This window comes from Homo sapiens, chromosome 5 (assembly GCF_000001405.40).
Source record: "Homo sapiens chromosome 5, GRCh38.p14 Primary Assembly".
In the NCBI taxonomy this organism is placed as follows: Eukaryota; Metazoa; Chordata; class Mammalia; order Primates; family Hominidae; genus Homo; species Homo sapiens.
This window is the reverse complement of record NC_000005.10, coordinates 84,753,809-84,774,967: the sequence shown is the minus strand read 5'-3', so window position 1 is coordinate 84,774,967 and position 21,159 is coordinate 84,753,809.

Sequence of the window (21,159 nt, the reverse complement as noted above, 5' to 3'; positions counted from 1 at the left end):
ATCCTACTGGTCCCCAGGCAGTAGTCTCAAATTTTGTTTGCTTTACCCTAGTTAATGTTCAAACCCAGAGTTAGATTAAACTATTATGATTCCCTTTTACAAATCAGGAAACTAGATTATAAACAACCCAATTACATTACCTGTAGTGAATCATCAGTAAGGGAGATGGGTCTCCACCCCAGGTTCGTCTGCTCCTGAGTGGACCCATACTCTGTATGCTAAATTATATGGTCTCTTGTTAACAGAATTTCAGACATGTATTTGGACAGACTGTATTGCAAAATAAGAATCGAGATCATTAGACTGATCTCGTCTAAGTAATTGAAGGGGAGAAGGTGGGGAATACTGCTTCAGTGGATCACTGAGGCAATGAAGCCTCAGTAGCTGAAAGGTTATTGGGGCCTTGCACATGAACTTCATTTGCATTCCCTGCTCTAACTGTTCCTCTTGATGTAACATTGTTCTGGGACTTTCACCTCTCAAAATCTTGGTTAGTTTATTTTTAAAATGGAAATAGTGAGACAGCTTTGAGGACCATGTAAAGTAATACATTTAAAGCATTTAACATCAATTCTAATAAATAGTGATGTGGTTATTTTGTTGTTGTTACTGTTGTCATTGTCACATTGTTTAAAATGCCAGGGTAGTCCATGAACTGAAAGATAAAACACACGATGGTAAAGAGGAAGAAAAAAATCAATCCCTCTGTGAGCAGAGATGTAATAGAAATATGCATGGTAAGATGTAGACATGACCGGCTGCAATTCAGCCATGCACGCCAGGTATCATAAAGCTAGTGGAATTAACATACATAAACACATATTGAAAATAACCTCTTAAAAATAAAGAAAGCAATTTTGACTCCAATAAGATGTTCATAGTATTTGGATATTTGGCTAAAATAACTTCACTGTCTCCTGAATACTGAAGTGAAAAATTCAGTACTATACTCCTTTATTCTTAATGTCCTGATGTCACAGCTTTGTGCAGTGATGAGTTACAGTCACCTTGAAACATTAGTTTTAAGGACAACAATGGCAGAAATTATTTATGTAACAAAAGGCCTTTCATGTTCTAATTTATACTTTATACATAGCAGTACTCTTAATAAGTTGCATTTAGTTGTAGGTCACAACCACTGTCAAGTGAAGAGGATGTAAGCAAGATTATTTCCACATTTTGTAGAGATGACTTTATATAAAGAGGAATTTGGAGCTAAGTCCATGGAGTAAGGGAATCAGAGAAAATGAGGATTAGCATCAAAGCCATCACTGATATTCTCCCCCTGAAGGAGAGCACATAGTCATGCCCTTGTCCTTTTGCTGTCTTGAAATCTGAACAGAAAATCTCCAGAAGCACTTCATTCAGTGATGTAGACAGCCAGAAGACTTCTTGGGAAGCCATTTAAGTCTGGAAAGGTTACTGGTTTCAAAAGACAAGTAAAGTGGATGATATAAAATTAGCAGTCAAAAGGTTCTGAGTCCTGGGGTCGTATAGACCAGCATTTCAATTCTAGCCTGCCACTTAAAAGCTCCATATTTTTATATGAGTTAATTAGTCTCTTTAAGCTTCAACTCTATATTTGTAAATGACTTTAGTAATAGCAATGTAGAATTATCTGATTCAGAATTAATTTATATGATAATATTGTAATTGATAATTCAGTCTAAATGTCCTTCACATGTGTCAGATTTAATTTCTTTAGCTTATAAAAACTGATTCGCTGTAATTAGATTATAAAAACTTCAGGTAGTATTGTTATTTAACATTATGTATATTCTATAGAAAGTAATCAGTATATATTAGGTATTCCAAAAGCTACAAGATGAGAACATTGTACTTCTACCTATTCAATACATGGAAGCTTATAAAGAAAATAATTCTCTTGTGAAAGTTGTTTTAATACCAGTCAAATAGCTAATAATTTTATTATTCAACAAATAACAAATTTGTTGAATTTATTATTTGTTCTAATTTGGTAAGTACAAGAAAAATAAAATCTTGCTTATTTGACTTTTTAAAAACTCAGACTACATTATCTTATACAAATGGAAAAATGTAGAGTGCAACGTCAAACACTAGCAGATTTTAGTGCTATATATGAAGAAAAAAATACCGAAGTTATTATACACTGGAGTACTCTGGTAATATTCCTTCCAGTTTTAGGCAAGACATTGTTTGGCAATGGAGTAGTGAAGGTGATTTATTATAGATTTCTATTTTATTTTCTGATATGGCCTTTATTGAAATTTTCCCTAGTATTTCTATCTTTATGAAAATTCTTCTTCCTCTCAGGAAAGCTATGAAGAAATTGCAGACTATCTGTCATGTAAAATTCTTTTGTTATTTAACTCTATTGCCTATGAAAAAAATGCTGTATACAACCTAAAATTTAAAACTGAATTTTTACAACAGAGAGAAGCCTTGGCAGTGAAACAGATACGAAAATATAGTATTTACAATTACTAATTCTTGGGAAAAACGGAAAGATCCAAGCCCAAAACACAGAGGTCTTTTATAACTACATACAAATGGAGGGGAAAAGAGAGAAAATATGTTCATTCCCCAAACTGAAGACAAGGATAAGGAAGTATTATGACTTTCAACTCTCATTTGCAGTGTTTCTACCTCAAAGCATCATCACATATCATGAGTTCATGTTCTGCAACAGTAATGATGAAGTTTCAAATATAATGGTACAGGAAACTGAACCATATGAAAAAGCAGCAGGAAATTGTTGTGCCAAAATATAACTTCCTTTAGGAAAAAGACTTAATAGGTATCGTACTGTGCATAAAAAGAAGTTATTTAGACACAGGGAAATTGACATTTCAGTCATTTCAGCTCTTTGTAGCTTGGACACGAATATAATCTCAAATATGAATTGAGTTCATATAGCTCCTTGCATAATCATATGTTGAGATATATGATTAAACTAATTCCATGTACCAAATCATATGGTGAGCCAAATGTATTTTAAAACATTTTCACCTATTTTGACATTCATGTGGTCTGAATATATGCAGAAAACTATTAGATATGTGTCTTGTATTATAATATTTAAATATTTAAAAGGAGAAAGGGAAAAACTAATATTCACCTTTTTTCCTACTTTTTCAACATTCCATGAATAGCGTTTGCCTCTCACTTAACTTTAACACAAAATAAACAAGAAGACATTCCAGGATTTTTAAATCAACTTTATTGAAATACAATACATTTCAACTATTTAAGTTATTTAATAGTGTATATTTGGTTTGTTTCCAGTTTTGAGCTATTTTGGTTACAACAGCTATGTACATTTATGTACACATTGTTGCACTGACATATGTTTTTATTATCTTTGATACATCTCCGGGAGGCAAATGGTTGTACCTTAAGGTAGGTATACATTTAACATTTTAGGTTACTGCTAAATAGCTTGCTAAAATTATTATACCATTTTACTTTCTACTAACAAGGTATGAGATTCCCAGTTGCTCCAAGTCCTCATAAAGATTTTGTATTAGCCTCTTTACTTTCCTCCATTCTTATGTATACGGAACAGTACCTCATTGGGCTTTTTAATCTGTAATTCTGATGACTAATGCTGTTGAGTATTTTTTCACATGCTCATTGGACATTTATATTCTTTTGTGAAGTATCTGCTAAATGGTTTGCCCATTTTCAAATGTTTGCCTTCTTCCTATTTAGCCATAAGAAGACTACATCTTCTGGATGCAAGCCCTTTATCAGATTTAACATTTTAAATATTTTCTCCTCTTTTGTGGCTTGCCTTTTGATTTTCTTTACAGTGATTCCAAGGAGCAAATATTTTTAATCTGAATACAGTCTAATTTCTCAAGCTCTGAGGTAAATTTGAAACAGTTGAAAATTATGTTTCTTAAAGCTGTCTAAATTTGTATGTAGATATTCTGGTTTCTCATTCAAATGTGAGCTTATCCTGTTCAGATTTTTATAGCACTTTTTCCTTCCACCATTTTCAACCTGGTTAGCTGTATTTTACCTCACCAGGCCAAGAGAACACAAATTTCTGTTAGCAGCCAACACTCAGATGACTAATGAATTCACAAACTTCCTACAAAAGCAACAAAGGAAGGCAAAGTAAAATGGACTGTTTCATTTTTTTAAGGCTTTTGCCCATTTGATTAGGCCCAGAAATTTGTTGAATTGGTGAAAATACTCAGAAACAGGACCACTTAAGCATGGCAGAAAGAGAATGCTGTAGCCATAGCAAGCATCATAATTTGAAGCAAATATAATTAAATCCATGCAAAAAAAGAGCAAGCATGAATAAATAGCTCAAAATGATAGATGAAAAAGAAAAAGTACACCAAATGCCCACATAGAGTGAGGAAATATTTTGCATGATTTCACATAAAGTACCTCAATCTGGAAAAGTCTACATATACATCATCAATTCTATCATGAAGTGCATAGTTATAAAACATAACAAGATATAAGAGGGTCCAAGTGGACTAACAAGTTAATCATGAAAAATGGAATAATTATCGTATTAGTAAAAGGCTAGCAACTAGATAATATCCTTACTCTTGATGCAATTAGATGAAACACACATATCAAAAAAGTCAGCTTAAAATAAAAACTTTCATTTTTTGCAGAATGAAAAGTAACAAAATTAAAATCTAAGAAAATTACTATCATCAAATCTATTAAATTCTAATATAAGAAAGTTAATAATTATAATGAATTAAGAAAACTAATTTTCTTATATAGGTATAACCTGGCAAGACATGAAGTAAACATACATATAATTACATATACAATAATAATCAAAGAAATTAAAATAAAACTGGTTTATAATATAGCTTGGCCATCCCTAATTCAAAAATCCAAAATCCAAAATGCTCCCAAATCTGAAATTGTTGAGAGCTGACATTTTACCACAAGTGGAAAATTCTAAACCTCACCTCATGTGATGGGTCACAGTCAAAATGCAGCAAAAACTGTTTTATGGACACAGTGTTGAAAATATTGTATAAAATTACCTTCAGGCTCTGTGTATAACGCATATATGAAACACAAATGAATTTCATCTTTAGACTTGGGCCCCATCTCCCAGATATCTCATTATATACATTCAAACATAACAAAATCTGAAAATGCCCATCTGTCATCAGTAGAGACCAACACTGAGTCCCAAATATGGCACTAGGGTGATGCGTCAGTTAGCTGGTGGTAGGTTGATTACATTGGACTGGTCTCCTCATGGAAGGGGCAGCACTTGGTTCTTACTGTAATGGATACTTAGTCTCTATATGGATTTCCTTCCCTGCATGCAGTGCTTCTACCAGAATTACCATTTGTGGATTCACAAAATGCCTTTTCAACCATTATAATATTATCTCACACAGCTATGCTCTCATTAAGGAACTCACTTCACAGCAAATAAAGTATAACAATGGGCCATATGGTGTCGACATGGAGCAGCCATGTTTCTTTAAAGCAAAAAATATTTAAAGGGCTTGAAGGCAGAGGGAAGTTTACTGCTTACAGACTAGGAATCTCAGAATTTAGAGCAGAAGAATTTGGATAGTAACTAGGGAAAGTAGAATAGCATTATAGCTTATTATGAAGAAGATAGTATGAGATAATATAAATGATCCTAGAATCTTGCTTATTAATTGGAGAGGTAAACAGCAATGAAAGGAAAGAAGCATTCAGTTTTAATGGCATGTTAGAGAAGAGAGATCCTTAAGTAAAACAGGATTTACTTGTTTTACAATGGTTCTCACACTCCACAGCACCTTAAAACAAACAAACATACAACCCAATTCTAAATAGCACCTCTCCTCCCAAAACTTATATAATTATTCAGGTTAAGGCAAAAGATCTGATGTATTTTTAAAGTTCCCCATGTGATTCTAATGTAAAGCCATGGTTGAAACTTCTCAGTCATTGTCTGGAAATGAGTCCCAATGATAGCAAACTGGAATTTATGTTTTTACTGGTCAGCTGGTGGAGGCAGAGTGTAGAATGAGTCAGTAAAATGAAGTAAAACATGATCCCTGTGTGTCTTCTCTTGAGAGAAGAAGTATTCTATAATTCTAAGCAAGTTCAGTAAGGATTTGAAACAAAGAAGCAAATAACGTATTTGTCGGTGGGTTTTCTCATTTGAATTTTCCCAGAGTTGGTATGCTTAACAACCTCACAATAATTCTAGGCCAATACTCCCTTCTGAGACTTAATCATTTGTGTCTTTGTTGGTGGAAGTTTAGTCAATGAAATAATCTGGCTCTTCAAAGATTTTGAGATCAACAGATACAATTAGAATAAAATGTAGATCACATTAGAGAACATATATTTGGGAATGAAAAAAAGAAATGCAATATATTGAGATTCAATGGAATGCTTAGTGATATTTGTGGTAGCAAAGTATCACTAGAGACATGCATAATTAAATTTTTGTTCTCCCTACCAGTTATGTGACATTAAGGATCTAGGAGTATATTATCTCCAAAAGTAAAATTGGAACTTCCAGATACTTGAAAAAATTACATAGAATAAAATTACAGAGAAATTTTATGCTTACAGATAAAAGAATTGCTTTTGCCAGTTATATTATTATAAGTGCTTAAAAGGGACATCGATTCTTATGTAAATATATGTCATTTTCAGTCATGAATTTAAGATATTAAACAAGTTAGGGAACAGTCATGCAGATTGATTTATAAAAAATAGATATCAATGATTTAACAAAATATAATTATAAAATAATTAAATGAATAAAACAGAAAAAAATATAAAGTCATTCTATTTTCTTCGGAGCTCAGATTATTTAAAGACAAATCTAACTAATTAGAGTTTAGTTGAGCTGTACTGATTACATTCAAACAAATTTTTCAAGTACATGAGCTTAGGAAAGCACATTCCAATTGTAATTTTCTTTCCTCTTTGCTCATTGCTCCTTTTGCTCTAGTTTATCTTTGTCACCTGAGCCTGCTTTCAGTCTCAGAGGTATTAAAGGTTGTTTGGAGGACAAATAATTCACATTTTTCTAAATCATTAAACTAGAATAATACCACTCATTTAGGTTTCTTAACTAGTTCTGCTTTTTTGGAATAGAATTATACATTTTTAAAAACAAATAAATGTATATAGCTTTAAAATAATCTTTAAAAGCTTAAAACAAAAGCATGTGTTTCTCTATCACACATTTTTCCATTACCCCTTCGTGTTCCCCAGACAAAAATATTTCAATTCTTTCTAGTTTTAGTTTGCATATTGCCAAATAGTATAAATGTACTTGAATTAATCATCAGTAAATATTATTTACTTCTTGTAGTAATGAATCAACCTTTTTTTATACCACTTGTCACTCCTCCATCTTTTCAACATCATTATATCACTATTAGTGTAAAACTAATTTTCAGTATTTTTATTATCATTAATGATTATTATTTCATGCTAAACCATGCAGCTGATTATTAATACCTTCTCTCTTGTAGACAAATCTCTTATTTCTTCTACATCATTTTTCCCCTTTTAATTTACTATTTTTTTTAAGCATTAAATCTAAGCACAAGCTTCATCTACTTCTCAATAAAATTTCTCTTCACAAAACCCAGTCTGTATTGTCTGGATGGATTGCTGTCTGGACCCTCTGTACAGTAATTATTCTAGTATTGTCTCTCACCACATTTTAGGAACTCCCTTCATCCTTCTTATGTTGAATTCTCTCTTTACTGAATCATCTCCCTTTTTTTTTAGGTATGGTGACAGTAACTGCAATAAACATAATATAAAAAGAATTTAAATCTAGAATATACAAATAAATACTAGAAATCTATACAAATAAACAAGTCTACTAAAAACAGTACAAAGTCTTAAGACACTTTTTAAGATTGGATTTTCAAAAGACAAGCATATGAAAAGGTGGTCAACACGATTAACCATCAGGAAAATTCAAACTAATACCAAAATGAGGTAACAGTACAAAACCACCAGAACTGATACAATGTTTAAAATTACAATATAAATGCTGGCAAGGATGTAAAGTGACCAGCATACCCCTGCATTGCCAATGGGTATGTAAATTATTAAAATCATTTTGAGTAATTCTATGTCAATTTCTATTAGAGTTAAACACATACAACCTATAACTTAGCAGTATGTCACTTAGGCATATTCCCAGGAGAATCGAGTTTATATGTTCACCAAAAGACACATACAGGAAAGTAGATAATGGCTTTACTCATAATAGTGCAAAATATAAAACAGTCCAAATATCTGACAACAGTAGAATGTATAAATAAATCATGATTTATTTACGTGATGAAATACTCCACAGAAGTTTTTTATATTAAAAAATATACTATGCTTAAACACAACCACAGGAATGAATCTAACAGACATAATGATGAATAAAAGAAACTAGAAACTGTTGAAGTTTACTCTGCCTGACTCTATTTAGTTGCACAAAATAGGCAAAATTGGGCCATGGAAATACTATATTGGTTGAGGTCATGATTTCACAGGCATACGCATATGTCAAAGTTAATCAAATTGTATAATTTAAATATGTTCAGTTTAATGCCTTTTAATCATATATCAATGAAATTTAAAATGCATAAAATCAAACACAGGCTAAAAAGTGATAAAATTCAAAATAATGATTTTTTATTAAGGGGGATATTGACTAGAAAAAAGCCCAAGAAAACTTTCCAGGGTGTGGATAACACTCTATTTATTTGTTCTGGTGTGTGTATGCATATGTAAAAGTTCACCAAATTGTACTCAAGATTTGTGAGCTTTACCTAGTACATACTTCTTTTTTTTTTTTTTTTTTTTGAGATGGGGTCTCACTCTGTTGCCCAGGCTGGAGTGCAGTGGCACAATCTCAGCTCACTACAAACTCTGCTTACCAGGTTCAAGCCATTCTCCTGCCTCAGCCTCCAAGTAGCTGGGATTACAGGCACCTGCTACCAGGCCCAGCTAATTTTTATACTTTTAGTAGAGATGGGGTTGCACCATGTTGGCCAGGCTGGTCTCGAACTCCTGAACTCAGGTGATCTGCCCGCCTCGGCCTCCCAAAGTGCTGGATTACAGGCGTGAGTCACCATGCCCAGCCCCCCAATATATATTTTGATAAAAATCTATGAAATAAAAAGGCATCATCTTTTCAATCTGCAGTTCTCTGTCCTGATGTTAATTTACACCATGGGGAAAGGGAGGCAGAGCAAAATGGTGGAACAAAAGGTTCCACTAATCGTCCCCCAACACTCCCAACCAAGGACACCAATTTAACAACATCTACACAGAAAAAAAAACACCTTCATAAGAACCAAAAATCAGATGAGCATTCATAGTAACTGGTTTCAACTTCATATCGTGGAAAGAGGCACTGAAAATATAGAAACAATAGTCTTGAATAGCCACTGATGCCACCCCTTCCTATCCTCAGCCCCTTAAGCAGAGTACATCTCTGGCTGGGCACTGGGGGAGAGCACAGCAAACAATTTGTGCGGCATTGAACTCAGTGTTTTCCTGTCAGAGGAGAAAAGAAAAGAAAACAGGAACAAACTCAGCTGATGCCCATCCACAGAGGGAACATTTAAACTAGCCCTATCCAGAACAGAATCACGGATCCCAGTGGGCAGAACTTGAGTTCCTGCAAACCTCACCACTTAGGGCTACGGTGCTCTGTGTCCCTAAGTAAACTTGAAAGGCAGTCTATCCCATAAGTACTGCAACTCTTAGGTGTGTCCTAGTGCTGAACTAGGCCCAGAGAAAGAGTACTGGATTGTAGGGGGATGTGACTTACTGAGACACCAGCTGGTGCAGCCAAAGCAGTGCTGGCATCACCCCTCCCATCACCCCAGGCTGCACAGTTTGCGGCTCCAAAATGGACCCCTTCCTTCCACTTGAGGAAAGGAGAAGAAAGAGTGGGGAGGACTTTGTCCTGCATCTTGGATGCCAGCTCAGCCATAGCAGGATAGGGCACTGGGCAGAGATGTAAGGCCCCCATTCCGGACCCTAGCTCCTGGGCAACATTTCTAGATACATGCTGGGCCAGAAGGGAACCCACTTCCTTGAAGGAAAGGACCTAGTTCTGGTAGAACTCGTCATCTGCTAAATGAAGAACCCTTAGGCCCTGAACAACCAGAGGTGATACCCAGGTAGTTGGGTATGGAGGGCCTTAGGTGAGCCTCTGAGACTTGATGGTTTCAGGTGAGTCTCAGTACATTACTAGTTGTGGTGGCTATGGGGCAAAATTGCTTCTGCTTGAGAAGAGAAGAGAGAAAAGCAAAGGAGACTTTGTCTTGCACCTTAGGTACCAGTATGGCCACAGTGGGGTAGAGCACCAAGGAGGCTCTTGGGGTCCCCGATTCCAGGACGTGACTTTTGGATGGAATTTCTGGACCTGTCCTGGGCCAGAGGGGAGGCCATTGCCCTGAAGGGTGAGTTCCAGGCCAGGCAGCATTTAACACAAGTAGACATAAGTACCTTGGGCCTTAAGGGAACATTGGTGGTGGTCTTGCAGTGCTCCTCGTGGCCTGGGGTGGCAGTGGCTATGGGGTGAGTCTCCTCTGCCTTTGGAAGAGGGAGGCAAGAGTGGGAAGGATTATGTGCTGTGGTTTGAGTGCCAGCTCAGTGGCAGTACACTAGAACAGCAGGTATACTTCTAAGGTGTTTTTATCCTAAACCCTAACTACCAGATGGCACTTCTGAACACATCTGCGGCCTACATGACCTCACCACTCTAAAGGGAAAGACATAGGCCTGGCCTGCTGATTGTAGAGCCCTAGACTCTTCAGTAAACACAGGCAGTAGCCAGGGAATGATTACAGCAGGCCTTTGGCAAGACTTAGCGCTGTGCTGGCTTCAGGTCTGACCCAGCACAGTCGTAGTAGCCACAGGGGTGCTTGCATCACTCCATCCCCAGATTTAGGTGCCTCAGAAGAGAGAGAGAGACTCTGTTAGTATGGGAGAAAGTAAGGGAAGAAAACAAGAGTCTCTGCCTGGTAATCCAGAGAATCCTCCCAGATCTTGTCCAAGACCGCCACAGTGGTATCTCTATGAGTCTGCAAGAACCACAGCGTTACTGGGCTTGGAGTGCCCTCTAAAGCAGTTAAAGTTTAGATCACAACACCCAGATCCTTCCAAATATCTGAAAAGCCTTCCCAAGAAGGATGGCTACAGATAAGCCCAGACAGTGAACACTGTAATAAACACCTAACTCTTCAATGCCCAGATACTGAAGAACATCTAATAACATCCACACCACCCAGGAAAACATAATTTCACCAAATGAACTAAATAAGGCACCAGGGACCTAGAGAAAGATATCAATATCCAAGTACAAGAAGTTATAGAAAACCAAGCAGATTTAGCCCAAAAAAGATTGCCTCAAGGCATTTAATACTCAACTTGCAAAGTTCAAGGATAAAGAAAGAAACCTAAAAGCAATAAGAGAAAAAAAATCCAGTAACACACAATGGAGCTCCAATAGGTCTGGTAGCTGACTTTAGAGTGGAAACCTTACATGGCAGAAGAGAGTGATATGACATATATAAAGTGCTGAAGAAAAATAAACTTTTACCCTAGAATAGTGTATCTGCCGAAAAGTTCCTTCAAACATGAAGGAGAAATACAGACATCCCCAGTCAAACAAAAGCTGAGGGATTTCATCAACTCTAGACCTGTCCCACAAGAAATTCTAAAGGGAATATTTTAGTTAGAAAGTAAAGGACATTAATGAGCAATAAGTAATTTCCTGAAGGTACAAAACTTGCAGAAATAGTAAATACACAGAAAAACACAGAATATTATAATACGGTAACTGTGGTTTGTAAAACTACTCTTATCTAAGTAGAAAGATAAAACCAATCAAAAATAATTACAACAAATTTTCCAGATATAGGCAGTACAATAAGATGTAAATAGTAACTGCAAAAAGTTAAAAAGCAAGTGGACAAAGTTAAGGCATAGGGTCTTTATTAGTTTTCTTTTTGCTTGTTTGTTTATGCGAACAGTGTTAACTTGTCAGCTTAATATAATGGGTTATAAGGTAGTATTCACAAGCCTCATCATAAGCTCAAATCAAAAAACATACAATGGAGACACAAAAAAATAAAAAGCAAGAAACTAAATCATATTGTCAGGGAAAATCACCGTCACTAAAAAAAAGACAGGAAGGAAATAAAGAAGGAAGAAAAGACCATAAAACAACCAGAAAACAAACAACCAAATAGCAGGAGTCTGTCCTTTCTTATCAATAATAAGTTTGAATGCAAATGGACTAAACTATCCAATCAAAAGATATAGACTTGCTGTAAGAATGAAAAAACAAGACCCATTAATCTATTGCCTATAAAAAACACACTTCACCTATAGAGACACTCAGAGACTGAAAATAAAGCGATAGAAGAAGATATTTCATGACCATGAAAACCAAAAAAGAGCAGGAATCCCTATACTTGTATCAGACAAATAGATTTCAAGACAAAAACTATGAGAAGAGACAAAGGTCACTACATAATGATAAAGGCATCAATTCAGCAAGAGTATATAACAATTTTAAATATGTATGCACGCAACGCTGAAGCACCTCAATATATAAAGGAAATATTATTAAAGCTAAAGAGAGAGATAGGTCCTAATACAGTAATAGCTAGAAACTTCAACACTCCGCATTCAGCATTAAACAGATCTTCCAGACAGAATATCAAGAAAGAAACATCAAACTTAATCTGCACTACAGACCAAATGGATCTAATAGGTATTTACAGAACATTTCATCCAGTGGCTGCAGAATACACATTCTTCTTTTCACCACATGTATCATTCTCAAGAATAGACCATATGAGAGGTCACAAAACAAGTCTTAAAACATTCAAAAAAAATGAAATAATACCAAGCTTCTTCTCTGACCACATGGAATAAGGCTAGAAATTAATAACAAGAGAAATTTTGCAAACTATACAAATACATGGAAATTAAACAATATGCTCCTTAATGACCAGTGGATTAATGAAGAAATTAAGAAGGAAATTGAAAATAAATTAAAACAAATTATAATGGAAACACAACATACCAAAACCTATGGGACACAACAGAAGCGGTACTAAGAGGGAAGATTATAGCTATAATTATCTGCATTAAAAAAGAGGAAAGACTTCAAACAATCTAAAAATGCATCCTAAATAATTAGAAAAACAAAAGAAAACCAAATCCAAAATTAGTAGAAGAAAATAAATAATAAAATCAGGGAAGAAATAAATGAATTTAAAATGAAGAAAACAATACAAAGGAGCAAGCAAATAAAAAGCTGGGTTTTTTTTTTTGAAAATTTAAAAAAACATTGACAAACCCTTAGCCAGACTAAGGAAAAAAGAGAGTAAGATATAGATAAATAAAATCAGAAATGAAAAAGGAGACATTACAACTGACACGGCAGAAATTCAAAAGATTAATAGTGGCTACTACGAGCAACTATATGCCAATAAAGTGAAAAATCTAGAAGAAATGGACAAATTTCTAGACTCATGCGCCTGCCAAGATTGAACCAGGAAGAAGTCCAAAACCTGAACAGACCAATAATAAGTGACAAAACTGAAGTCATAATAAAACATCTCCCAGTAAAGAAAAGCCCAAGACCTAATGGCTTCACTGCTGAATATTATCAAACATTTGAAGAAGAACTAATACTAATCCTACTGAAACTGTTCCAAAAAATAGAGGAGAAAAGAATATTTCGAAACTCATTGTTTGAGGCCAGTATCAATACTAAAACCAGACAAATACACATCAAGAAAAGAAAACTACAGGCCAGTACCTCTGATGAATATTTATGGAAAAATCCTAAACAAAATACTAGCAAACAAACTGCAAAAGTTCATTAGAGGCCACGATTCATGGTTCCAGGATTGGTGGCTCATGCCAGTAATCCCAGCATTTTGAGAGGTCGAGGCAGGCCAATCACCTGAGGTCAGGAGTTCCAGGCTAGCATGGCCATCATGGTGAAACCCCATCTCTCCTAAAAATACAAAAATTAGCCAGGTGTGGTGGCTCACGCCTGTAATCCTAACTACCTTAGAGGCTGAGGCACCAGAATCACTTGAACCCAGGAGGCGGAGGTTGCAGTGAGCCAAGATCATGCCACTGAACTCCAGCCTGGAAAACAGAATGAGACTCTGTCTCAAAACAAACAAACAAACAAAAACAAAAAAAAACATTAGTTTATTCATCATGACAAAGTTGGATTTATCCCAGAAATTCAAAGATGGTTCAACATACACAAATCAATCAACATGATATATCATATCAACAGAATGAAGGACAGAAACCATATGATTATTTTAACTGATGCTAAAAAGGCATTTGATAAGATCCAGCACCTCTTCATGATTAAAAACCCTCAAAAAACTAGAGCTAGAAGGAACACAGCTCCACATAACAAAAGCCATATTCGATAGACCCACAGCTGGTATCATACTTAATGGGGAAAAACTGAAAGCCTTTCTTCTGGGACCTGAACCACAACAAGAATGCCCACTGTCACCACTGCTTATTCTTGTTTGCAGATGATATAATCTTATATTTGGAAAACCCTAAAGACTCCACAAAAAACTATTAGAACTGATAAACGAATTCAGTGAAGTTGCAGGATACAAAATCAACATACAAAACCCAATAGCATTTCTATATGTCAACAGTGAACCATCTGAAAAAGAAAAAAGTAATTCCATTTACAATAGTCACACATAAAACTAAATGCCTAGGAATTAATCAGAAAAAGGAAAGATATCTATAATGCAAACTATAAAAAACTGATGAAATAAATTGAAGAGAAGACAAAAACGTGGAAAAATATTTCATATTCATGAATTGGAAGGATCAGTATTGTTAAAATATCTGTAATACCCAAAACAATCTACAGATTCAATGCAATAACTATCAAAATACCAATAGCATTCTTTACAGAAACAGAAAAATTATTATAAAATTTATATGAAACCAACAAAGTCCCTGAATAGCCAAATCTATCTTAAGCAGCTCATTAATGAATTTGTAAATTTGTGAGTTTGCTTATATAAACATACAGCCTTTAGACTTAGACATTTTGGTGCACAAAATCCTTATAGCACACACACATATATATTCACATATACATGTATATGTGTACACATATATATGTACACATACATTCACATATACAAACAGTATGTGTGTATGTGTGTATATATCTATATATCTCTATATATATATATAGCTAAATTAGTATATAACATTGAAGTAAATGTTATTTCTTGGTCAAATACCATGCCATTAAAATGTTGCCCAAATGAATTAAATTTTACCTCACTAATGAGATAGCAAATAAAATTAAACATCAAATGTACCATTGGAAAAAACTATGTAGAGAGATGCAGAGGAAATTCAAATAGTTTTTTAAACCATTTCAACAATCTTGACGCTGTTTTCTAAATGCTAAAAGATATTACTCTTTTATAAATATGGTTCTTTATAATATCCAAAGCAGGGAAGTACACAAGTTAACTACAGGAATGGAGTAATTTCCAGCATCCTGAGCATTGTTTGAATTGCCACTCGATGTAGATATCTCATCTTGAAAAAAATTTGGTTAGATAGAACTCCTATTAGAGTCTGTACGTAATAAACAAATGCTGTTGAGCAAAAATAAATTTATAGGTAAAAGATGGTAGCAATTGAAATAATTTTATAAAATAACGTTTTGAAATACAATATTTTTGCTACTTCTATTTTCTCTCAATAAACAATATAGTACAGTACATTAAATTATAGTATTATAGTTCCTTTGTTACCTTTTCAATTTATTTAAAGAGACAAATGGCAGAAGTAAAATCACCAAAGCAGCCTCTCCTTTCCTTCTGCCACATAGTTTTCCTTTGCTTTCTATTTAGATCCTTAACAGAGTTTTTCTACAATATAGAAATTTTTCATCACAGCCTATGAAAAACCTACCCTTTGGGGGACATTTCACAACTCACCACAGGTTTTTTTGTTTCTTTTCCTTTCTTTTTTTTTAAAAGAGTTTTGAAATACTGCCAATTATTAAATCATGTTTACAACGAGTATAGACTGAACATATACTGCAAGATTTTGAAGTCTCATAAAAATTAAAGTCAATTAGTAACCCCAATAATTGCACACTGACCTTTCAAATACAATAAATTTATATTTGGCTTGCCCATAAAAAATGGAATAATACTCCCTACAGACCTCACAGTAGTAGTAATGATGAAGTACTTGTTGTAATTATGACAAAAGACAAGGAATAGAAATTAGAAAAAGATTCCATTTTTCTTGAAAAGAAATGCTGTATTAGTCCATTTTCACACTGCTATAAAGTCATACCTGAGACTGGCTAATTTATAAAGAAAAGGGGTTTAATTGACTCACAGTTCCACATGGCTAGGGAGGCCTCATGAAACTTACAATCATGGCAGAAGGGAAGAGGCACATCTTACCTGGTGGCAGGTAAAAGAGAAGTGAGCAGGGGAAATGCCAGATGCTTATAAAAGCATCAGATCTTGTGGGAGCTCACTGGTTCACAAGAGAAGAGCATGGGGGAAACCACCCCAATGATCTAATCACCTCCCACCTAGTCCCTATCCTGACACATATTACAATTTGAGATGAGATTTGGGTGGAGACACAGAGCCAAACCATATCAAATTCCAATGATGTACCACACCTTGCCAATAAGTACATGTGTTGGAGAAGAATATGTTACAGTAAATAAATAAATAAATAAATAAATAAATAAATAAAAATAAACTTTTCCTTTCATTGTCACACAAATCCGGATGCACCTAAACTTGGCAAGGAAATAAATAAATTTTGGAATACAAGATGAAGCACATATACTAGTTAATTTTTAGTGTTCTAAATAATCTCAAAATACTATGTGTATCAATTTCTTATTGTTGCTGTAACATGTTACCACAAGCTTTGTGGCTAAACACACCACAAATTTATTATCTTAACAATTCTAGAGGTCAGAAGTCTTAAAATCAAGGTGTTGGCAGGACCATGTTCTTCATGAAGACTCCAGGAAATAATCCATTTTCGTACCTTTTCCATCTTCTACAGACCACCCACATTCCTTAGCTTGTGGCCTCTTCCTCCATGTTTAAAGCATGTAATGTAACATCTTCTTACCTCTGTGACCTCTGCTACTCTGCTAGTCCCTGTTGTGTTGCTATAAAGGAGTAGCTGAGGCTGGGTAATTATAAAGTAAGAGGTTTATACGGCTTATAGTTCTGCAGGCTGTACAAGAAGCATGGCACTAGCATCTGCTTCTGCTGAGGGCTTCAGGAAACTTCCACTCATGTCAGAGGGGAAAGGGAAAGCAGATGTATCTCATGGTGAGAGAGGAAGCAAGACAGAAGGGAGCAGGAGAGAAGGCGGATATGTCATCCTCTTTTAAACAACCCAATCTCACCTGAACTCAGAGTGAGCACTCACTCATTATCATGAGGACAGTATCAAGCCATTAAGGAGGACTTCACTTCCATGAACCAAACATCTCCCACTAGGCCATCCTCCAATACTGGAGGTCACATTGCAACGAGATTTGGAGGGGACAAACATCCAAACCGTATCAGCCTTCATCTCATATTTTTGTTGACTCTGACTCTTTACTCCCCTCTTGTAAAGATCCTTATGATTGTAATTATGTTGGGCCTACTCAGATAATCTGAAATAATCTCCCATCTCAAGATCCTTAATCATACCTGCAAAACCATGTAAGGTGGCATTTTCACAGGTTCGAGGGATTAGGACATGAATATTTTGGGAGGGGGGCATTATTCAGCCTACCACACTATGTGAGAAAATATGATATTGAAATTTAACTAAGAATGAAATTTCTTAATTTTCCAGTGTGTTTTCTCTATCAATATTCTAAATGTTTTCAGCATCTGCTATTGAAGCCTGTGGAAGTCTGGGTTTGCAGTTTGGGAAAATTCAGCCCATTTAATTTGTTTAAATAAAGGAACTCTTTGAGCAAACATTATTTGCTGCTATTAGAAGGTATATTATCTTCAGATCAAGAGCATGCAATTTATTACACTAAGGGCAAATAATCTCAACTCTCAAAGTCAATTTTCTTTAAATTTATGTTATTAAAGTGTGAGCTGATGCTTACCTGTACATCTGGCTTCTGCTGTGATTATTAGTCTTTTTCTTCCTCTGACTGAACTATTGTGTATAAAACTCAACTCCCTCAATCAATTTCTGCCCTAGTTCCACTCACAGCAAGTATTTCAAAATTAGAGTTGTAACCAAGAAGGCCCAACACCCACCTCAAGGCCTGAGATATTCAGTGTCCCTCAAATTCTTGTATTTTTATTCTCATCTGATGTCTCCCCATGTATTCACAGAAGCACCAAAAATCTCTCTTGCTGTTCTGCAAAACACAGCTATTTTTTTTCATCAAATCTAGCAGAAATTAGCAAAGATTTTTCTTTAATTCCAAACAATTTGACAAATTAAATAATTTTTTCTCTACCACATTTTGCCTAATACATTCAATTTATTTAGCCACGAGTGAAGCAGATGAGAAAACCATAAAATACTCACTGCTTACTTCTTCCACATAGATGGAATAGGTTGCTAAAAGTAGTGAAAACTAGCAAAGTGTTAATGACTGAGACATATGTAGTCAGACTTTAAGTCTTTGCTCATTAGTATTAGTGACTGGGTATTAAAATAACTAGTTGTTGCAGAGTTTTACAGATATGAGATTTCAGTTGTGAACTATAATGGAAGAAATAGATCATCATTAAATAATTTTCACACTATTAAATATTTAATGATGTCAGTGACAATTGGACAATCCTTTAAAGATTTTTAATTATAATAATTAAGTATCTTCTTTAACTATCCTACATAATTGTTGAAATAATCAGAATACTAATATAGTTTTTTTATTTTCAAAAAGTACATTACAATCATCTTCCTTGACAAATATTAAATGTTTGTTACCAATACGCTTTGGAATAAAAATATACCTATAAATACAATAAAATGTCTTTGGTTTCCATTTCAATTAATTTTATATTATTATTTAATATTTCAATTATAGTCATGGTAGCTAAACTAATGCAAAATGGTTTATGCATTTCACTTCAAGAAATAATGAAATCCTTCCAGAATTTTGAAGTACGTAAATATTTTGGCACACATGATGATTGGCTATCCCAAATCATCCGCATCCAAATTCTCCTTTGATTTCCTCTTATTATAATGATGACAGATGCTTAAATATTTACCTTCTCCTACTCTTGCAGGTGGGACAGTCAAGGCTCCAGTTCTAAAAAATGAGCCATAAGCAGAAACTGCAAGAAAAGGGTCCTGAGAACTTAATTCAATGTGCTAACACCGGGTTTCCTACATCTGTCTTTTTCTTGTGTGAGACACATAAAGCCGTTATTTATTTAAGCTGACAGTTTAAGTTTACTTTGCTTGCATCTGAATAAAATCCTGATATTGGTTTTATTTACTCTTTTATGTCAATTCTTCCAAAATTCTATATGTGTCTGTGTGATGTATGTCTATATGTGTGTCCACACATATTTACACACATACAGGTAATCACTAGAGAAAATACATTGCAAAGAAACCAAAAATCTTTTGCATTTATAATTTCTTTGTGATAACTTTCTAAAAAGAAAGCTACAGAGAGATGAGAGATGTTATATGTAAAACCATAAAAATAAATAAATGCCATTCAAATAAGTCATCTATAAGGATGACATTCCTGTGTTTTCCTCAAGTTCACTTCTGTGTACCCTTACCCACTTCATTCAAAGCCCTAGTGCTCTTATGAAATCTAAAACATTGTCCAGAACAAAAGTGGTTGCTCTATGAGCATGCTCTATGTTTTTGAGTTCAGTATGCATGGGACATTCAGAAGTATAAATTGAGTTTAACAACATTTAATAAATGATTTTATTTTCATTTTATCTGTACCTGTATATAACACTAAACTTATTTCATAGCCATTTTTGCTTATCTGGGCCATTTAATAATAAATATCTGGAAAATATATTTGATAATCCTCCTGTAGTAATTACTAAGGTAATTGGCTTTTGAATCTTTAGAAAACTCTATATTTGAACAATAATAATTTAATAATATCTAGAAAGTATACTTGATAATCCTACTGCAGTAATTAGTAAGGTAATTGGCTTTTGAATCTTTAGAAAACTCTATATTTGAACCTAAATGGCATCCTGAAATAAAGTGTGCCTTCTATTACTGGGTGTTTTAAAATCTTTGACCACTACTGTTTCCTTCAGAACTTCTTTATTTCTTAGTAAACTCACAAATATTATTTCGACTACAACAGTTCAACTCTATCACATCGAATTTAACTAATCCGAATGTCACCATTACATTGTAGTTCATCATTTCACTGAGGTTCTTCTACTATGTGTTTAAAACCCTGTTAAATATTTTACCTGGAATTTGTTTTAATTCTTAAAATTACCCAGATAAATTGCTAAGAGATTTTAAGCAATTTGTCAGATCTCTCGTGACGATTAAGGGACCAATATATAATTTTAGTGAGATCTGACTATAGAAGCAACTTTATAAAACTCTACACCATAACAGCTCTATCTTGCAAAAAGTGCTTTCCCCTTTTCATAGGAATTCACACATTTTACCATTGCTATATTTCACAGGGTCTATGCTCTACTTTTTCAATGATTCTATAAAAACAGCTTCAGTGCTTTGGAGAAATATTGAACTCTTCTTCCCTAAAATTTCTCATCCAATTTGAAGTTTTACAAAAGAGGGTGCTTCGATAACTCTCTCTTTGACATAAGCTATTCTTCATTGCTGTTCTGATGCTGAAATAGGCTTGTCAAACTCTGTCTACCAATTGAAGTCATTTGTGGCAACAGAGAGGTACACATTAAAATAAATTAAAGTATGATAGCTATAGTAACTTTAAAACTCTGCTAACATGCTTTTTAAGTTTTAGAGTTTGGCATTTCATAACCATATAGTGTTCTTTCAGAAATCTTGTCAATTTTTGCTCCTCTCCTGGTTTCATCTTATCTACAAATTAAATTATTGACAGGTTTTTATATAAAGTTTCTTGAACTATTTCATATTTTCACAGTGTTGGCAGTGATTATG